The 22,571-nt window shown below is 41.6% G+C and overlaps 2 long non-coding RNA genes across 4 annotated transcripts in view; one reads left to right on the top strand and one right to left on the bottom strand.

Moving 5' to 3' along the window:
* LOC101929048 (uncharacterized) overlaps positions 1–17,595 on the top strand; it is a 74,973-nt gene extending 57,378 nt beyond the window's left edge. Inside the window, exon 5 of one of the 3 annotated variants that reach the window (XR_925415.3) lies at positions 16,568–17,595. This is a non-coding gene — a long non-coding RNA (uncharacterized LOC101929048). Of the gene's footprint in view, positions 1–44; positions 2,625–2,867; positions 6,152–16,567 lie in introns of those variants that run through there. The other 2 variants (XR_001741387.2, XR_925418.3) reach the window with 2 other exon arrangements.
* Positions 1–22,571, bottom strand: part of LINC01182 (long intergenic non-protein coding RNA 1182) — a 276,050-nt gene that overhangs the window by 147,701 nt on the left and 105,778 nt on the right. The gene's annotated exons all lie outside the window — the stretch shown is intronic.

Below are 22,571 nucleotides of genomic sequence, written 5' to 3'. Positions count from 1 at the left end.
TTTTGCTTAATCACTCCTTTATTTTATTTATTGTTATTTTGTAGGGGACTCCTGGTTTTTGCCTTTCCCTGACTAAGATGGCCTCCTCCCTTTCACTGTTTCACCTGTGATCATTCTCCTCTTCCCGCAAAGTTTGATTTAAACATCATTTCCTCCAATTACCCTCAGACCTGCAAGTAGGGGTCACTCAGTCCTGCTGTGAGCTCCTGGCATATCGTTTACTGCTGGGTCACCTAAGTACCTAGTTGGTCTGCCAGCTCCTAAATGGCAGAGACCACATCTTAACACCTGTGTGCTCTCATTAAGGCCACAATGAACATTTCTTAAATTAAACCTCATTCTGCCTTTATCTTAGGTCTCCTGCCTGTCTGAAAGTGTTTGCTATATGCATAATGATCTCTCCAGCATGCTAAGGTCATCTGCAGCAGCAAATGTCTCTTAAGGGTTGATTATGGGTCCAAGGATCTGAAAGATTTTCTATGTGATGGAATTAGGGGGTTTGAATTCCAATGTAGATACTCTGGTGAGGAGGAATAAAGATCCTTCCCCTCATTTAGACCCAAGAGACAGAAATACTACCACCAGTTGGTGATCACTGAGGATCCGTATTTGTTAGGCATTGTATGAACCTTCTCCATGAACTATCTTCTTGGTGTCTCAAAACAATCTTTTGAAAGAGGTACCAAAATTATTCCCATTGTTATAATTATATGCCCAATGTCACACAGCAAAGATAACTGTCCAGGTAGGTCTATCTTACCCAACATCTGTGCTTCTTATCACTCTACTGTAGATCTCTCAAACGGTAAGTCAATTGGTATCATTAAAAGGAAGGTACAAAAATCCAGGAACACATTCATAAAACTCTTTAGACCCACAACTGGAAATGCCAGTTGGATGGTCTTTTAATTTTTCTGTTTCCCTAGTAACAGAAATCATTCTTCAAAAACAAAACAAAACAAAACAAAAAACAACCTTAGAAACAAGTCTGCTTTGTAAAACAGGTAACACAGAACTGCTCCAGGTTGAAGAAGGTTGGGGGAGCTATGAAATCTCACCCACCTGTCACTCCCTTCCCACCCAGGTGCCCTTAAAGGCACTCTGAGGCACCAGCTGATTACACCTTCATAGTCTGTAGATGTGGAAAGAAAGGCCTGGAAAGAGGAAATCATTTACTAAAGCTCACTCAGCTCAAAAGCGGCAGGGCCAGGAATTCTAAGTCCCCTGGCTCCGAAGCCAAAGCTCTTTTGACAGTATTTTGATGTCTCATTTGTGACAACTAGGCTTTCTTACTAAGAAGTGCAGAATTATAAAATAAAGTCAACAAAATCTACAAAGGATTACTATACTTCATCTGATCTAGGATTATATCAGTTACAAGATTCACTCCAATTTGTGATGTTAAAAATTCTAGACCTCAGAATCAATACAATGAAATGTGTCAAGAGTGTTTATTCCTCTGTCATTTGGTGCAAGGCACTTCTGTTGATTCTCCTTTTGTCCTTCACCATTCTAAGACATTGGTTCCAATCTTTGTTTTTGGATTCAAGTTTCCTTTGGAATCTGGTGAAAGTTATGGACACTCTAGCTAGAAAAATTCACATTGCATTGACATGGTGTGGGATACAGCCTGACAGTCTCCTGAAGCCATTCCACAGAACCTATATATTTTATGTATTCCTGATAAGACGTAAGTCCCATTTGAAGAGCTCAAATGTTTCCCACTTATGCTGTTTCTATGGAAAGGAAAAACAATCTGCTATCCATTTTACAAACACAAAATTAACCTCTATGCTAAAGGGTGGAGCTTTAGGGTGAAAGAACAAAGGAGTCAAAGTTACCTCCTGGCCAAGCTAACAGTTTCCCAACCCCCACTGTCATTCTCTTAGGCAAGGATCAAATTTTTTAAAGTTCTTAAATTTTTGAAATGAGAAATCCTAACTATCAAAAGCAAAATGAAGCAAGTGAAGCTAATTGTGTTTAGAGTTAGTGCTTAACCACTCAGAGAAAAGAATTATTTCCATTGACTTCCGGAGCACAGTAATTTTACAGTACATCCCTCTAAGAACAAAAATAGCAACTGGAAAGGAATTGTAAACTCTTTTCAGTAATTATATTTTCAGTTTAATATTGACATTGTTATTTCAAACTATAAGCCTTCAGCAAAGTGTTATTGGAGATTTTCATTGCCTGGATTTCTGTTAGTTTTAAAGTAGAGAACCATGGAAGATGGTCTTATGAGTTGGAAAAAGAGAATGAGTGTTCTAAATCTATATCCATCTCCCAACCAGCTTTGTCTGTCTCTAGGCAATTACTCCAGAACAAACATGCTGTATCACAAGAATTATTAATTTTATCCTAAAGTAAACAGACTCATCTCCAATGATAAAAGAAATTATCTACCCACATGACTTGACCGATATCTTTTTAAGAAATATATCCTTGGTTTTACTATTGTGTGATCAATCTGTCCAGGCTTGCCTGGTACTTGTCTGTTTTTAGCTGGAAATCCAGTGTCTTGAGATGAGCCTCACTTCGGGGCAAACAGGGATGGTTGATCACTGATATGGTTTAGCTGTGTCCCGACACAAATCTCAAATTGTATCTCCCAGAATTCCCATGTGTTGTGGGAGGGACCCAGGGGGAGGTAATGGAATCATGGGGGCTGGTCTTTCCTGTAATCTTCTTGTGATAGTGACTAAGTCTCATGAGATCTGATGGGTTTATCAGGGGTTTCTGCTTTTGCTTCTTCCTCATTTTCTCTTGCTGCCACCAAGTAAGAAGTGTCTTTTGCCTCCCATCATGATTCTGAGGCCTCCCCAGACATGTGAAACTGTAAGTCCAATTAAACCTCTTTTTCTTCCCAGTCTCGGGTATGTCTTTATCAGCAGCATGAAAATGGACTAATACAGTAAATTGGTACCAGTAGAGTGGGCCATTGCTGAAAATATACCTGAAGATGTGGAAGCAACTTTGGAGCTGGGTGACAGGCAGAGGTTGGAATAGTTTGGAGGGCTCAGAAGAAGACAGGAAAATATGGGAAATTTTGGAACCTCCTAGAGACTTGTTGAATCGCTTTGCCCAAAATGCCGATAGTGATATGAACAATAAGGTCCAGGCTGAGGTGGTCTCAGATGGAGATGAGGCACTTGTTGGGAACAGGAGCAAAAGTGACTCTTGTTATGTTTTAGCAAAGAGATTGGCAGCATTTTGCCCCAACCTTAGAGATTTGTGGAACTTTGAAGATGAGAGAGATGATTTAGGGTATCTGGCAGAAAAAATTTCTAAGCAGCAAAGCATTCAAAAGGTGACTTGGGTGCTGTTAAAGGCATTACATTTTAAAAGAGAAACAGAGCATAAAAGTTCAGAAAATTTTCAGCCCGATGATGCAGTAGAAAAGAAAAAAACATTTTTTTTAGGAAAAATTCAAGCCAGCTGCAGAAATTTGCATAAGTAGCAAAGAGCCTAATGTTAATCCCCAAGACCATGAGGAAAATGTCTCCAGGCTATGTCAGAGATCTTCATGGCAGCCCCTCCCATCACAGGCCCAGAAGCCCAGGAGAAAAAAGTGATTGTGTGGGCCGGGCCCAGGGTCCCCATGCTATGTGCAGCCTAGGGACTTGGTGCCCTGTGTCCCAGCCATCCCAACTGTAGCTGAAAGGGACCAAGGTACAGCTCCGGCTGTGGCTTCAGAGGGTGGAAGCCCCAAGCCTTGGCAGCTTCCATGTGGTGTTGAGCATGCGGAGGCACCGAAGTCAAAAACTGAGGTTTGGGAATTTCTGCCTAGATTTCAGAAGATGTATGGAAATGCCTGGATGCCCAAGCAAAAGTTTGCTGCAGGGGTGGGGCGCTTGTGGAAAACCTTTGCTAGGGCAGTGCAGATGGGAAATGTGGGGTCGGAGCCCCCAAACAGGGTCCTTACTGTGGTACCGCCTACTGGAGCTGTGGAAAGAAAGCCACCGTTCTCCAGACCTCAGAATGGTAGATCCACCGACAACTTGCACCGCACCGTGCACCTGGAAAAGCCGCAGACATGCAACACAAGCCTGTGAAAGCAGCCAGGAGGGAGGCTTTGTACCCTGCAAAGTCACAGAGGGAGAGCTGCCACGACCATGGGAACCCACCTCTTACATCAGCAAGACCTGAATGTGAGAACTGGAGTCAAAGGAGATCATTTTGGAGCTTTAAAATTCGACTGCACTGCTGGATTTCAGACTTGCATGGACCCTGTAACCCCTTTGTTTTGGCCAATTTCTCCCATTTGGAATGGCTGTATCTACCCAATACCTGTGCCCCCATTGTATCTAGGAAGTAACTAACTTGCTTTTGATTTTACAGGCTCCTAGGCAGAAGGGACTTGCCTTGTCTCAGATGAGACTTTGGACTGTAGATTTTTGGGTTAATGCTGAAATGAGTTAAGACTTTGGGGGACTGTTGGGAAGGCATGATTGGTTTTGATATGTGAGGACGTGAGATTTGGGGGTGGCAAGGGACAAAATGGTATGATTTGGTTTTGTCCCACCCCCCGCCCCCAAGATCTCAACTTGAATTTTATCTCCCAGAATTCCCACATGTTGTGGGAGGGGCCCAGGTGGAGGTAACTGAATCATGAGGGCCAGTTTTTCCTGTGCTATTCTCGTGATAGTGACTAAGTCTCATGAGACCTGATGGGTTTATCAGGGGTTTCTGCTTTTGCTTCTTCCTCATTTTCTCTTGCTGCCACCATGTAAGATGTGCCTTTCACTGCCTGCCATGATCCTGAGGTCTCCCCAGCCACGTGGAACTGTAAGTTCAATTAAACCTCATTTTCTTCCCAGTCCTGGGTATGACTTTATCAGCAGCATGAAAATGGACTAATACAGTCACCCTATCATGCAAACAATTTATTCATCTTCCCCTGGGCTGACACTCTTTTTAAAGCCTCCCATATTAACTGAGGATAGTTCTTGCCAACCCCTCTGGAAAAGATGGCACCATGCCAAAATGCCTCTTTTCCAATCTTTATATTTCACTTTTGATAGAAGGCATGGCAGAGAGTTGGGAATGGGGTAGGATGGGAACTTTCAATTTACCCAACCATGTGTGCCTTCCCTAGTGCCTTATGTTCTTTACTTTTCTTAAAATTATTTGCCTTCCCAAATAAGTCATACCTCCAAGACATATTCTATTGGCTACATGGAAGGAAAGGAAAGAAAATGAACAATTTCCAAACCCAGTTGAGTGAGCACCTGGGACAAAGAACATAGGCTCTGAAAGCATGGGGTTGATACTTCTGTTAGTGTATTTGAGGGTGGGGCAAGGCCTGGAATAAAGCTGGAAGCTGGCCTCTTGGGGAGAAAAAAAAAAAAAAACAGGGACAGCATTCAAGGGCAAAATGGAAATTAAAACCAGACAGCTTGTCCAACTAAGTCATCAACCTGCGGGACCTGGAGGAAGAGGACATGACCAGCAAATGGAAGCAAGATTGGCACTAAGGAGCAAGAGGGTTCAAAGAGAAGCTTGGGAAGCAGGATGTGGAGAAATTCCATGGAAAGACAGTATGGCCACTACTGTTCTTCTGTTTGGTTTTAAAATTTTTATTAGGAAAATTACAGACATATATAAGAGCAGGGGGAATAATATAATAAAATCCTATGTATGCATTTTCAACTTTCAACAATTATTAATCATGATGGCTCTTGTTTCATTCATATGCCCCCATTTCTTCATTCCAGATTGCTTTGAGACATATTCTAGATATATTATTTCATTTATTATTTCAGTATTTCTCTCTGAAAGATAAAAGTCTCTTTATAAAAGTGTATTAATAATATTATTACGTCAAAAAAATACACTAGCTGACATGGTTTGGTTGTGTCTCCACTCAAATCTCATCTTGAATTGTAGCTCTCATAATTCCTACATGTCATGGGAGGGACCCAGTGGGAGGTCATTGAATCATAGGGGTGAGTTTTTCCCATGCTGTTCTCATGACAATGACTAAGTTTCCTGAGATCTGAGGGTTTTAGCAAAGTGAGTTCCCCTGCACATACTATCTTATCTGCTGCCATGTAAGACATGACTTTTCTCCTCATTCAACTTCAGCCATGATTGTGAGGCCTCCCCAGCCATGGGGAACTGTGAGCCAATTAAACTTCTTTCTTTTGTAAATTACCCAGTCTTCAGTATGCCATTATTATCAGCCTGAGAACATACTAATACAGTAAATTGGTACCAAGAGTGGGATGCTGCTGTAAAGATATCTGAAAATGTGGATGTGACTTTGGAACTGGGTAACAGACAGAGGTTGGAACAGTTTGGAAGGCTTAGAAGAAAATAGTAAAAAGTGGGAAAATTTGGAGCTTCTTAGAGACTTGGAGGGCTCAGAAGACAAGAAGATGTGGGAAAGTTTGAAACTTGTTGAATGACTTTGACCAAAATACTGATAGTGATATTGATAATAAAATTCAGGCTGAGCTGATTTCAGATGGAGATAAGGAACTTGTTGGGAACTAGAGTAAAGTTCACTCTTGCTATGCAAAGACACTGGCAGCATTTTGCCCCTTTCATAGAGATCTGTGGAACTTTGAATTTGAGAGAGGTGATTTGGGGTATCTGGCAGGAGAAATTTCTAAATGGCAAAGCATTCAAGAGGTGACAGAGCATAAAAGTTTGAAAAATTTGCAGCCTGATGATGCAACAGGAAAGAAAACACCCATTTTCTGAGAAGAAATTCAAGCTGGCTGCAGAAATTTGCATAAGTAATGAGGAGCCAAATGCTAATCAGCAAGACAGTGGGGAAAATGTCCCCAGGGCCTGTCAGAGAGCTTCATGGCAGCCCCTCCCATCAAAGGCCTGGAGGCCTAGGAGAGTAAAATGGTTTTATGGTCCAGACTTAGGGCCATCCTGCTTTATGCAGCCTCCAAAATAGTGCCCTGCATCCCAGCTGTTTCAGCTCCAGCTATGGCTAAAAGGGGCCAAGTATAGCTCAGTCCATTGCTTCAGAGGGTACAAGTCCCAAACCTTAGTGGGTTACATGTGGTGTTACACTTGTGGGTACACAGAAGTCAAGAATGGAGGTTTGGGACCCTCCACCTAGATTTTAGAGGATGTGTGGAAATGCCTGGATGTCCAGGCAGAATTTTGCTGCAAGGGCAGGGATCTCATCAAGAAACTCTACTAGGGCAGTGGGGAAGGGAAATGTGGGGTTGGAGCCCCTACACAGAGTCTCCACTGTGGCAGTGCCTAGCAGAGCTGTGAGAAGAGGGCCAATGTCCTCCAGACCCCAGAATGGTAGATTCACCAACAGCTTGCACTGTGTACCTGGAAAACCCAGAGACACTCAATGCCAGCCCATGAAAGCAGCCAGGAAGGGAGGCTGTACCCTGCAAAGCCACAGGGACAGAGCTACCCAAGGCTGTGGGAGCCTGCCTCTTGCACCAGTGTGACTTGAATGTGAGACATGGAGTCAAAGGAGATCACTTTGGAACTTGAAGGTTTAATGACTGCCCTATTGGATTTCAGACTTGCATAGGGCATGTAGCCCTTTGCTTTGGCTAATTTCTCCCATTTGGAATGGATTACCCAGTGTCTTACCCCCATTGTATCTGGGGAGTAACTAATACTTACTTTTGATTTTATAGGCTTATAGGCAGAAGATACTTGCCTTGCCTAGTCTCAGATGAGACTTTGGACTATGGACTTTGAGTTAATGCTGAAATGAGTTAAGTCTTTGAGGAACTGTTGGAAAGGCATGATTGGTTTTGAAATGTGAGGACATGAGATTTGGGAGGGTCCAGGGCAAAATGATATTGTTTGGCTGTGTCCCCACTCAAATCTCATCTTGAATTATAGCTCCTGTAATTTCCACATGTTAAGGGAGGGACCCAGTGGGAGGTAATTGAATCATGGGGGGCAGGTTTTTCCCATGCTATTCTCATGATAGTGAATAAGTCTCACAAAATCTGATGGTTTTATAAAGGGGAGTTCCCCTGCACAAACTCTTTTGCCTGCCACCATGTAAGACATGACTTTGCTCCTCATTCGCCTTCAGCCATGATTGTGAGGCCTCCCCAGCCATGTGTAATTGTGAGTCAATTAAACCTCTTTCCTTATAAATTAGCCAGTCTTGGGTATGTCTTTATTAGCAGTGTGAGAACAGACTAATACACTAACCCTAATGTATTATCAAGTATCCAATCTGTTCAAAGCTCCTCCTCTTCCTTATTACAGTGGTTAATCTGTCTTTTATTATTTTTTTCTTTATCTATAGGCTTTTTCATCTCTTTTGTTTTCCCTTACAACTTATTTGTTGGAATAATCTGTAATTATTTCAGCAGAGTTTTTCACAGTCTAGATTTTTCCAAGTGCATGCCTGAGATGTTGTTTAGTATGTTCCTCTATCTCCTGTATTTCCTAGAAGCTGTTAGGTAGATTTAGAGGTTTGATCACATTGAAATTCAATTTCTGTCAACTTTTATGATAAAGTGAGGTTCTATCAGGAGGCACCTAATGTCTGATTGCTTCTATTTACATGATGTTAAGATTAATCAGTGTTGTCAGTTGTTGTACCTTTCATGAAGTCCCCCATTAACATTTCACCTAATGGATATACAGATGCTCCCCAACTTATTATGGGGTTATGTCATAAACTCATTGCAGGTTGAAAATATCATAAGTCAAACATGCATTTCATACACCTAAACTACAGACATCATAGCTGAGCCTAGCCTACTTTAAAAGTGCTTAGAACACTTACATTAGGCTACAGTTGAGCAAAATCATCAACAACACAAAGCCTATTTTATAATACAGTGTTAAATATCTTATGAAATTCATTGAATACTGTACCAACCCTGTAATATTACCTGTTACATTACCAACCCTGGTAATATAACAAAACAAGGCCTTTCAACACCCCAAAAAAATCACACTAGTTCACCAGCAATGGATCCAAACCAAGAAGAAATCCCTGATTTACCTGAAAAAGAATTCAGGAGGTTAGTTATTAAGCTAATCAGGGAGGCACCGGAGAAAGGCAAAGCCCAATGCAAGGAAATCCAAAAAAATGATACAAAAAGTAAAGGGAGAAATAGTCAATGAAATAGATAGCTTAAAAAATTTAAAAATTCAGGAAACTTTGGACACACTTTTAGAAATGTGAAATGCTCTGGAAAGTCTCAGCAATAGAATTGAATGAGTAGAAGAAAGAAATTCAGAGCTCAAAGACAAAGTCTTTGAATTAACCCAGTCCAACAAAGACAAAGAAAAAAGAATAAGAAAATATGAACAAACCCTCCAAGAAGTCTGGGATTATGTTAAACTACCAAACCTAAGAATAATTGGTGTTCCTGAAGAAGACAATTCTAAAAGCTTGGAAAACATATTTGGGGGAATAATTGGGGAAAACTTCCCCAGCCTAGATAGAGACCTAGACTTCCAAATACAAGAAGCACAAAGAACACTTGGGAAATTCATCACAAAAAGATCTTCTCCTAGGCACATTGTCATCAGGTTATCCAAAGTTAAGATGAAGGAAAGAATCTTAAGAGATGTGAGACAGAAGCACCAGGTAACCTGTAAGGAAAACCTATCAGATTAACAGCAGATTTCTCAGCAGAAACCTTACAAGCTAGAAGGGATTGGGGACCTATCTTCAGGCTCCTCAAAAAAAAAAACAATTATCAGCCAAGAATTTTGTATCCAACAAAACTAAGTACCATATATGAAGGAAAGATACAATCATTTTCAGACAAACAAATGCTCAGAGAATTTGCCATTACCAAGACACCACTACAAGAACTTCTATAAGGAGGTCCAAATCTTGAAATGAATCCTGGAAATACATTGAAACAGAACCTCTTTAAAACATAACTCACACAAGGCCTATAAAAGAAAAATACAAACTAATAAGCAAAAACAAAAAAACAAAAACAAAAAAACAAAGTACACAGGCAACAAAGAGCACAGTGAATGCAATGATACCTCACATTTCAATACTAACATTGAACGTAAATAGCCTAAATGCTCCACTTAAAAGATACAGAACTGCAGAATGGATAAGAACTCACTAATCAACAATCTGCTGCCTTCAGGGGACTTACCTAACACGTAAGGACTCACATAAACTTAACGTAAAGGGGTGGGAAAAGGCATTTCATGTAAATGGACACCAAAAGTGAGCAGGCATGCAAACGGACACCAAAAGCAAGCAGAAGTAGCTATTCTTATATCAGACAAAACAAACTTTAAAGCAACAGTAGTTGGCCAGGCGCTGGGCTCACGCCTGTAATCCCAATACTTTGGGAGGCCAAGGCAGGTGGATCACGAGGTCAGGAGATCAAGACCATCCTGGCTAACACAGTGAAACCCCATCTCTACTAAAAGTACAAAAACAAAATTAGCCAGGCATGGTGGCGGGCGCCTGTAGTCCCAGCTACTTGGGAGGCTGAGGGGGGAGAATGGCATGAACCCGGGAGGTGGAGCTTGCAGTGAGCCAAGATCATGCCACTCACTCCAGCCTAGGCTGCAGAGCGAGACTCCATCTTAAAAAAAAAAAAAAAGCAACAGTAGTTAAAAGAGACAGAGACATTAGATAGTGATAAAAGGCCCTGTCAAACAGGAAAAATATCACAATCCTAAACATATATGCACCTAACACTGGAGCTCCTAAATTTATAAAACAATTACTAATAGACCTAAGAAATGAGATAGACAGCAACACAATAATAGTGGAGGACTTCAATACTCCATTGATAGCACTAGACAGGTAATCAAGAGAGAAAGTCAACAAAGAAACAATGGACTTAAACTATACCTTGGAACAAATTGACTTAACAGATATATACAGAACATTTCATCCAACAACTGCAGAATACATATTCTATACAGCAGCACATGAAACTTTCTCCAAGATAGACCATATGGTAGGCCATAAAACAAGCCTCAATAAATTTAAGAAAATTGAAATTATATCAAGCATTCTCTCAGACCAACTCCAATAAAACTGGAAATCAACTCCAAAAGGAACCTTCGAAGCCATGCAAATACATGGAAATTAAATACCCTGCACTTGAATGAGCATTGGGTCAAACACTAAATCAAGATGGAAATTTAAAAATTCTTCAAGCTGAATGACAATAATGACACAACCTATCAAAACTTCTGGGATATAGCAAAAGTGGTGATAAGAGGAAAGTTTATAGTCCTAAACACCTACATCAAAAAGTCTGAAAGAGCACAAACAGACAATTCTAAGGTAACACCTCAAGGAACTAGAGAAACAAGAACAAACCAAACCCAAGCCCAGCAGAGGAGAGGAAATAACCCAGATCAGAGCAGAACTAAATGAAATTGAAACAAAAAAAAAATACAAACGATAAATGAAACAAAAACTGGTTCTTTGAAAAGATAAATAAAATGGATAGATTCATAGCAAGATTAATCAAGAAAAGAAGAGAGAAAATCCAAATAACCTCACTAAGGAATGAAACAGAAGATATTACAACTGACACCACTGAAATACAAAACATTATTCAAGGCTGCTATAAACCCCTTCATGCACATAAACTAGAAAACCTAGAAGAAATGGATAAATTCCTGGAAAAATACAATGCTTCTAGTTTAAATCAGGAAGAATCAGATACCTTAACAGACCAATAAGGAGCAGCAAGATTGAAATGATAATTTAAAAATTACCAACAACAAAAAAGTCCAGGACCAGACAGATTCACAGCAGAATTCTACCAGACATTCAAAAGAATTGGTACCAATCCTTTTGACACTATTCCACAAGTTAGAGAAAGAAAGAACCCCCCTTCCAACTCCTTCTATGAAGCCAGCATCACCCTAATACCTAAACCAGGAAAGGACAGAACCAGAAAATGAAAACTACAGACCAATATCCTTGATGAATATAGATGCTAAAATCCTTAACGAAATACTAGCTAACCAAATCCAACAACATATCAAAAAGATAATCCACCTTGACCAAGTGGGTTTCATACCAGGGATGCAGGATGCAAGTAAATAAATGTGATACACCACATAAACAGAATTAAAAATAAAAATCACATGATCATCTGAATAGATGCAGAAAAAGCATTCAACAAAATCCAGCATTCCTTTATGATTAAAACTGTCAGCAAAATCGGCATACAAGGGACATACCTCAAGATAATCAAAGCCATCTATGACAACCCCACAGCCAACATAATACTGATGGAGAAAAGCTGAAATATTCCCTCTGAGAAATGGAGCAAGACGAGGATGCCCACTCTCACCACTCCTCTTTGACATAGTACTGGAAGTCCTATCCAGAGCAATCAGACAAGAAAAATAAATAAAGGGCATCCAAATTGGTAAAGAGGAAGTGAAGCTGTCCCTGTTTGCTGATGATACGATCATTTACTTTGAAAACCCTAAGGACTCCTCCAGAAAGCTCCTGGAACTGATAAAAGAATTCAGCAAAGTTTCTGGATACAAGATCAATGTACACAAATCAGTAGTTCTTCTAGACACCAACAACAACCAAGCAGAGAATCAAATCAAGAACTCAGCCCCTTTTACAATAGCTGCAAAAAATGAAAATAAAACACATAGTAACGTGCCTAACCAAGGAGACGAAAGACCTCTACAAGGAAAACTACAAAACACTGCTGAAAGAAATCATAGATGACACAAACAAATGGAAACACAACCCATGCTCATGGATGGGTAGAATCAATGTTGTGAAAATGACTGTACTGCCAAAAGCAATCGACAAATTCAATGCAACTCCCATCAAAATACCACCGTCATTCTTCACAGAGTTAAAAAAAAAATTCTAAAATTCAAATAGGACCAAAAAAGCCCGCATAGCCAAAGAAAGACTAAGCAAAATGAACAAATGTGGAGGCATCACACTACCTGATTGCAAACTATACCATAAGGGCATAGTCACCAAAACAGTATGGTACTGGTATAAAAATAGGCACATAGACCAATGTAACATAAGAGAGAACCCAGAAATAAACCCAAATACTTACAGCCAATTGATTTTCAACAAAGCAAACAAAAACAAAAGTGGGGAAAGGACACCCTTTTCAACAAATGGTGCTGGGATAATTGGCTAGCCACATGTAGGAGAATGACATTGGATCCTCATCTCTCACCTTATACAGAAATCAACTCAAGATGGATTAAAGAATTAAACCTAAGTCCTGAAACTATAAAAATTCTAGAAGATAACATTGGAAAAACCCTTCTAGACATTGGCTTAGGCAAGGAGTTCATGACCAAGAACCCAAAAGCAAATGCAATAAAAACAAAGATAAATAGCTGGGACCTAATTAAACCAAAGAGCTTTTGCATGGCAAAAGGAATAGTCAGCAGAGTAAACGGACAACCCACAGAGTGGGAGAAAATCTTCACAATCTATACATCTGACAAAGGACTAATATCCAGAATCTACAACAAACTCAAACAAATTAGTAAGAAAAAAAACAAACAATCCCATCAAAAAGTGGCTTAAGGATATGAATAGACAATTCTCAAAAGAAGATGTACAAATGGCCAATAAACTTATGAAAAAATTCTCAACATCACTAATGATCAGGGAAATGCAAATCAAAAAACCACAATGTAATCTACCTTACTCCTGCAACATTGGCCATTATCAAAAAGTCAAAACAAACAAACAAACAAACAAAAACAGTAGATGTTGGCCAGGATACAGTGAACAGGGAACACTTCTACACTGCTGGTGGGAATGTAAACTAGTACAGCCACTAATGGAAAACAGTGTGGAGATTCCTTAAAGAACTAAAAGTGCTACCATTTGATCCAGCAATCCCATTACTGGGTATCTACCCAGAGGAAAAGAAATCATTATTTGAAAAAGGTACTTGCACACGCATGTTTATAGCAGCTCAATTCACAATTGCAAAATCATGGAACCAACCCAAATGCCCATCAATCAACTAGTGAATAAAGAAACTGTGATATATACATATATATACACACACACACACACACACACACAATGGAATACTAAGCAGCCATAAAAAGGAATGAATTAACAGCATCTGCAGTGATGTGGATGAGACTAGACCCTATTATTCTAAGTGAAGTAACTCAGGAATGGGAAACCAAACATCGTTTGTTCTCAGTGATATGTGGGAGTTAAGCTATGAGGATGCAAAGGCATAAGAATGATACAACGGACTTTGGGGACTTGGGGGGAAGAGTGGAAAGGGGACAAGGGATAAAAGACTACAAATATGGTGCACTGTATACTGCTCAGGTGATGGGTTCTTTTGATGTTAAACTTCCATATTTAGCCTTTGGAAGCAATTTCATATTGTTCCTAAGTTAATTTTACATGGTCCCAAGGGCCTTTGATAGCTTCCTTGCTTTCTGATGCAATGAGATGTTCTAGTGAGATGCAATGAGACACATAACTCATCTTATGTGTTTTTTGTCCCACACTTATAATCAACCATTTCTCAAAGAAGCCCAAGCTCCTTAGTAAGAAATGATATTTGGAGACCACAATTTGGATGTCAAGGGTCCTCCTTGTTACTGGGTTGATCATTCTGTCTAGACTTTTTCAGTGGACACAACTAATTTGTTTTTTTCTTACTGGAAGAAAATATATTCCAGTATAAAATAAGAAAATATATTTTACTTATATCTTTCCTCTCTAATGAGTAAAAGCCTCAGTTCCTAATGATATTGGAATTATTTCTTATACTACATACACATATAAGTGGGTGGGTGTGCATATTTCTATATCTATATGACAAAGAAGGGACATAAGCATAGATTGTGTTTTTATGTCAGAGGGAAGTAGGACATCAGTAGGAGGGATACTTAAAGAGGAGCTTCTGAAGGAAGACAAGGAAATATGGAGGGCAGAAAGTAAATTAAGGAGTGAGAGAGCCTTTACATGGAATACTTTCTGAATGCAAAATTGTAGTCTTGTGCACAAGATAAATATGTTTATATACCAGTAAAAAACTTGCTGAGAGTAAGAAACTCTAATACCATATACCTTGACCATCACCCAGAGTAATAGCAAACCTTTATATAGCATACCATATGCCAGGCATTGTCTAAGTAATTACTATATAAACTCATTCAATCATACAACACTAAGAGACATTATCATTATTATCTCCATTTTATGAAAGAAAAAATTGAAGTACAGAGACATTAAGCCACTTTCCCAAGGTGAAATCACTAGTGAATAGCAGTGCTAAGATCCAACCTGGACATTTTGACCTTAGAGTGCCTTCATTATGCAATATAACTCTCAAGATAGTGTATTAAAGACCATCACATGAACACATGCAAATATTCACACATACAAGCAAACACAAATGATTTGAGAAAGTGAAGTACTGGTAATCCCAAGTTATAAACATCTCACTGTAAAATAGGATTTTGAAAACCCATGAGATTTCCACACAAATCAGCACAACTTGTAGAGCCAAAAGAGCATGTAGGAATTAGAATTAAAACTCAGAGACACAGAGAGAGAGAGAGAAACAGATGAATGATTAGATAGATAGATAGATAGATAGATAGATAGATAGATAGATAGATAGATAGATGATAGATAGACATCGATGATAGACACATAGACAGATACTAGATAGATACATACATACATGTATGTATCTATCCATTTATTCATTCATTCTTCATTTCACAAATGAAGATGCTGAGAGAGTAAGGAAAGTTAAATAAGTAAGTCTGAAAAGTCAATGAATCCAGAATCATGTGGTCCAAAGACTTTGCAATGCCTTTAGCGTTGAGGAACCCAGTGTGACAGAGGTGATGAGTGGCCAGTCTTGAACATGGGATCCAGGCTGTCTCCTCTCAAGATGCAGCACTAGCGGTATCCATGAGGCTTTCCTTCTCAGCAGAGAATTCAATCCAACTACATCACTAAAATCAGCTAGAAATAGTCCATTTGTAAAAAGTCATCTCAGCATAATGGGTGAGAGGGGGAAATCCCTAATACAAGCCAGAGCAGGTGCAGGAAGCCATCCACCTCCTTCCTTCATCCCAAAGGGGCAATCATCACAGCTTCACTGCCAGGATGTGTGAGAAGCAGGGCTTACAGCTGGGCAGCCCTCATGCCAAAAGTGCATAAACCCAAAATGGAAGCTGGAGGGAAAAGAAAGGCAGGCTTAGCACATCAATCCTCCCACTTGCTCCCCATTGGAGTTGGAGCTGGGGCGAGCAGACGTAAAAACATCACCAGCTGGTGTGTTTCCTGGCAGGGACACCAGCCGTAGCCTTGCCCGCCCCCAGACATAATACTGCAGCAAACAACTTCCATCTGTAGCTCCATTTCCTTTATTTACTAGCACTACTAGGCAGGAGAGGAGAACAAACCAATGTTTTGGAGGCCCATCAGGACCTGGGCGTTGCCTCCAGCAGAACAGTGTTGATGGATGGTAGACAGTCAACAGACAAAGCCTCATTATACTTGTAAACCCAAATACAAAATAAATGATTCTTCTTTTGCATTACTGCTGCAGCGCCTGCTCTCAGCACCTGCCCTCATGCCTACCCTGTTCACACTTCTCTCTCTCAACAGCCCTAACAGTTCAGCTGAGCTGAAAGGATGAGGAGGAAGCCCTTGGCGATGGAACTTCTAGACAAGCCAAGGCCTGCCTGGCAGAGCTGGGAGCAGATTGAGGAAGACACCACTGCCCCTCCACCCACCCCGCCGCCGCCTTCATGTTGCCTTGATCTTCTATCCTCAGCTGACATTTTTGTCGCTCATCTCTGATTGAAGAAACCTCAGTTTCTTATTTGATCTTTCCTGGACAACCGTTTAATAGGCAGCAAGAAAAAGAGATGAGAGAAAGTGATTTTTCATCCCTGACTTGACATGATATTTTCCTTTTAACAATTTATCCATACCTCTCCTCTCAGTTTCTCTCCTTTCATATACTCACATACTATCTGCCTCTCTGCATAGCAAAGCAACCTTTTGAGCAGTTCTCTAAGAAGATTCTAAAAAGCAAGGAAAAAGCAGGATCACAATAGCTCCTTCCCCAGTTCAATTCAGCAAGCTTTTCTGAGCACCAGTCCAGATGCAAGGCACAATGAGAGGCAAGATGAAGAATGGGGGTTACTCTATCCTCATCGGACCAATTTAGAATCCAGTACATGCACATACAGGAAAAATCCAATGTGTTCATCATCTGTGTGTTCCATAATCATTTACTGAGCACCTTTTATCAAAAAGAGAAACCATTTTTAAAGTAAACTGGATTCTCTATTATAACAACAGTGAAGTTTGGCAAAATGTTTTCCTCATGTGAAGGCTTGAATTTAAAGAATTTTAATTTATGTTCATTATGATTCAATCCAACATTTGTCTTTTTGTATGTATTAGATCTTGCGAGGGACACAAAGATAATCAAGTTGTGGATCTAGGTCTTAAGACGTATAAAATTGAGTGGGTCTATGTCTTCCAATACACAAAGTCAAGTGGAGAGACATAAATAACACTAACTTCAGTGCAATGTATACTAAAGGATACGGAATGACTTATTCAGCAGCTACTATGTGCCTGGTGCTTTACCCATATGATTAATAAAGCATCTTTTGGTGATATTTACTGTTCATGTAATCTATGGTCTAAGCCTGGTGACATGGTCTTGAGAGGGATACAAACATGTAATTACAATGTAACAGGAAGTAGTGACAGGGAAAATAAGAGAGAATAGCCGGGACATCTAATCTGATTTGGCAAATCAAAGAAGGCTTCCAGGAAGAAGTGACTTCTGAGCTGAGTCCTGAAGAATGAGTCATCCAAATAAATCAGAGGAGGAGATTGTTTTTGGCAGCAAAAATAACATGCACAAAGTCCCAAAGGCAGCGGGGAGACTTATGTTCCTCATCCAATAAGAGAGGAAGCTGAGGTTCCAATGAGTTATTTAACTTACCAAAGATCACACAGCTGGTGATTGACCGAAGTTGGATTTGGATCTGGCGTGAGTATCTTCCACCTATAAATGTTAATAACAGAGGAAGAGAGATAGATTTTGATTGATGACAATAGGGAAGCCTTTGTTAAATTGGGTTTTGAAGAACGAAGTAAAAATGGAAAGGGAAGAATTGACAGAAACCAAGAGAGTGTTGAGGGGCAGCAAATCCCAGTTTGACTGGAATATAGAGTGATGTCAGGGTTGGAAGGAGGTGCTTTGAAAAATTAAGTTGGAAAGATGGAAATGTTTTAGATGGAAAGACCCATCAATCAAGTAAAAGATACTTCATTCCCACCGCAGGATTAAGTCAATAAGGCACTGGACACTTTAAGTGTCAGAGGAAAAGAGAAGACAAAATACTGAACACTGCAGTATAGCGACAGAGGAGCCCTGTAATGACAGGCACTCCTCTGACCTGAGGTGAATGAACACAGAATCTTCAATGTGTCCAAGGGAAGGGGACCCAGAGCTACTGGTAGACTATCACTCCCAGAATGCCTTTCAGTGATCCACTTTCTTAGCCCACACTTCCTTCTATTCTTCTTCCTTTTTTTTCTTTGTTCCTTCTTTCCTCCCTTACTATCAAAATCATATTTGAATCTATTGTTTCTTGGGATAGATATGTCTGCTTGAATAACAAAGAGGCTTTATAACAAAGTCACCAAGAGAACAAATTGCTTCAAAACCAGGTTTGATGGACTATCTTAATGTATGTTGGACTTCTCATGATTGTGTCTGGCTACCAAGCAAATAATAGTAAAAAAATTAAAACTCATTCCTCCCAATTCATGTTTTAAGAGCAAATTAATAATGAAAGATCTCTTTACATCACAAAAAAGAAAGGATTTTTTATTTACTGTTGTTTGTTGTTTAAGTCCAGCAAAACTGAAGTTCATGTGAAAGAATAGGTGCAAATGGTCCAAAATCTCCTAAAGGAAGGCAAGGGCCTGAGAGGTCAATGGCTGAGCAGCACTTGCTAGCAATTACCAATCAATCCTCTTCAGGGCAGGATAATGGAAACCTACATGGTATAGCCTTTACAACCAGCAGACCTGTGGGCCCCACCAAGCTCTCTAAGCTTGGCAAATCACTTCTTTCTTGATCTCATTTGGAAGATGGGGACACTCCTTCACATCTTCTTACAAGATGGTTTTAAGTATTTAATAAAATGATGCATACCAATTCCTAGCTCAGGGTTTGGAACATGAAGTTATTCAATAATAGATGCCTCCTCCATAGTCCCCCACCCAGCCATACTCATTTCCACTTCTCTCCTAGGACTTTGTACATATTTCTATTTTACAGCACTTATAACAGTGCATTTTGGTTTTTAGATTACTGGTCTGTCTCTACTACTAGATATGAGCTATTCAAGAATATCAGCCATGGCTCATACATTTATCTTTGATAACCAATAAAGTGAATAGTAGTTGTTCAATTAACGATTTCTCACATGGTTGAGTTTAAAAGCTCTCAACTCTGTTAAGGATCTAAAACTGACATTTCAAAAAATGACCACAAGCCAGTGTATAACTTGGTGCTAAACCCTGTGGTACAACAGGCTTGTCAGAGGTGTTAAAGTTGAAGGCAGAAGGAAAAGGTGGGACAGCATCAAGGGGCTTTCGTGGGGGAAGTAGAACCTCAGAGAGGCTAGAAGATTGGGCAGCCCTGAATGAAATGAGGACAGCCACTTGAGAAAGGGTGAAAATGGGCAAGAGTATGGAGGCAGAAATGAGCATGTCACATTCATGGCACAGGAAGAAGACTGTTATGATGTGCTCAGGACCAGGAAACAAGGGTGTTTGGAGTTAATGTCATAGAAATAGGGAACCACAGGGGTGTCAAAGGAGGGAGTAACTTGAGTTGCTGATGTTTAATCAAGGCCGATGGGCACAAGGTATGAAGTTTCTAAACATCTGGAGGAGAGATGTAACTTTGCCTGAAGTTGCTGGAGAAGGAAGTTCATGGAAAGGGAGTGGGAGCCTCAGAGCTTCCTACTCGAAGAGTTCATTGGTACTAGGGGGTCAGTTCTCATCATGCTGCAATTGTGTTCAAAACAGGAGGCCTGCCTCAGGATCAGCAAGTGCCAGCAGCTCAGCTCAGCATCCTAGTGGACCAAGCAGCCCAGGGACTCTGATGAGAGAGCATCGCTCCTCAACTCAAAGGCAACTTCAGAAGGATGCTGTCCTAAAACCAGCCCAGGCCTTGCAAGAAAAATGACAAAGAGCAAGTTGAAATGAGTTTTAGGGATGAGCACTTTGTTGGAAATGAAGAATCCATTTAAAAAAAAAAACCATAAATGTGAAAAAGACACAATAATTAAGACAGTAGTGATCTATTTTGGGAGCGAAGTGCTTTCATATAGAGCATCACATTTCACTTCCTCAACAACCTGGTGAGACAGACCTTATTTCCATTTCACAGATGAAGTGAGGCTGGTGATGGTATGTGAATCTCCCAAGAGTGCCCAAGTATATAATGGAGCTGGCATCAGACTTCCAGTGTTGCATTTCCTAAATCTACTGTGTACTTCTTTGAACCAAGCTGCCTGCCTCCAGAGGAACGGAAGTGTGCTGAGACCAAAACATAACTCAGAGAAGGAAAGGGGACAGAAAAGTAACCCCCACCACTGAAACCCATGGAAGCAATAGTGTGTAATTATTGGCTAATGACCAACTCACAGGTAAACTGTGTCTTAGCTCCCTTGGGTAAGAAAAGGAAGATGTGCCTTCCAGCACCTTTGCTGGCTGCAATTTTATGTGGGAGATGTTGATTGGAAGGCCTACAAAGATCCTCCTGTGTGGGGAGCTTTTTTCAAAGAATGTTAAAGTATCATAATTGCTTGGATCTCCTGAGAATTGCCTGTCTCACAGTCTCATTTATTACAATTTCCAAATAACTGAAAAATGTTCCTTCCTTTGTGATAGTCTGAAAATTGAACGAACTGAAAGGACCCTCTTCTCCACCCATGACTGCAACCCACAACTAGGTTTTCTTACAAAGCACAAAGAAAGAAAGAAGAAAGGGCATCTTTCCTTTCCAACAGGGAAAAAAAATTGTGAGATGATATGAAATTACATTGTTACTATTTTAAACCTCACTATAAATCCATGTATCTGCTGCATTAGCTTACAGTTGGTATACACGTGGTTGAGCTAATCTGAGAGTGTCTCATTATTCTACATACGAGCAAAAAGAACAGACTTAGTCAGGCCTTTAACCAGCAGGGAGAGCTTGAGTGAGTAATGCAACCCTTGCTGGTCCCTGTCATGCCTGCTTCCCAGGCATGTTGACACATAAACAAGTGCTTTGAAATCTATAAACCATCACATCAGTGTAAATTATTATTATCACTGTGGTTAAAAACAACAACAGATCTCAAAAAAAAAAAAACAGCCCCTCTCCCTCTCCCTCTCCCTCTCCCTCTCCCCACGGTCTCCCTCTCCCTCTCCCTCTCCCCATGGTCTCCCTCTCCCTCTCTTTCCATGGTCTCCCTCTGATGCCGAGCCGAAGCTGGACTGTACTGCTGCCATCTAGGCTCACTGCAATCTCCCTGCCTGATTCTCCTGCCTCAGCCTGCCGAGTGCCTGCGATTGCAGGCGCGCGCCACCACGCCTGACAGGTTTTCGTATTTTTTTGGTGGAGACGGGGTTTCGCTGTGTTGGCCGGGCTGGTCTCCAGCTCGTAACCACGAGTGATCCGCCAGCCTCGGCCTCCGGAGGTGCCAGGATTGCAGACGGTGTCTGGTTCACTCAGTGCTCAATGGTGCCCAGGCTGGAGTGCAGTGGCGTGATCTCAGCTCGCTACAACCTCCACCTCCCAGCCGCCTGCCTTGGCCTCCCAAAGTACTGAGAGTGCAGCCTCTGCCCGGCCGCCACCCCGTCTGGGAAGTGAGGAGCGTCTCTGCCTGGCCGCCCATTGTCTGGGACGTGAGGAGCCCCTCTGCCTGGCTGCCCAGTCTGGAAAGTGAGGAGTGTCTCTGCCCGGCCGCCATCCCATCTAGGAAGTGAGGAGCGCCTCTTCCCGGCCGCCATCCCATCTAGGAAGTGAGGAGCATCTCTGCCCGGCCACCCATTATCTGAGATGTGGGGAGCGCCTCTGCCCCGCCGCCCCGTCTGGGATGTGAGGAGCACCTCTGCCCGGCCGCGACCCCGTCTGGGAGGTGAGGAGCGTCTCTGCCCAGCCACCCCGTCTGAGAAGTGAGGAGACCCTCCACCTGGCAACCGCCCCGTCTGAGAAGTGAGGAGCCCCTCCGCCCGGCAGCCACCCCCTCTGGGAAGTGAGGAGCGTCTCCGCCCGGCAGCCACCCCATCCGGGAGGGAGGTGGGGGTCAGCCCCCCGCCCGGCCAGCCGCCTCGTCCGGGAGGTGACGGGCGCCTCTGCCCGGCCGCCCCTACTGGGAAGTGAGGAGCCCCTCTGCCCGGCCAGCCGCACCGTCCGGGAGGGAGGTGGGGGGTCAGTCCCCCGCCCGGCCAGCCACCCCGTCCGGGAGGTGAGGGGCGCCTCTGCCCGGCCGCCCCTACTGGGAAGTGAGGAGCCCCTCTGCCCGGCCACCACCCCGTCTGGGAGGTGTACCCAACAGCTCATTGAGAACGGGCCATG

The sequence above is a fragment of the Homo sapiens genome, chromosome 4, assembly GCF_000001405.40.
Source record: "Homo sapiens chromosome 4, GRCh38.p14 Primary Assembly".
NCBI classification, from domain to species: Eukaryota; Metazoa; Chordata; class Mammalia; order Primates; family Hominidae; genus Homo; species Homo sapiens.
Note: the sequence above shows the minus strand (reverse complement) of the source record. Positions and strands in the feature narration are given on the sequence as shown.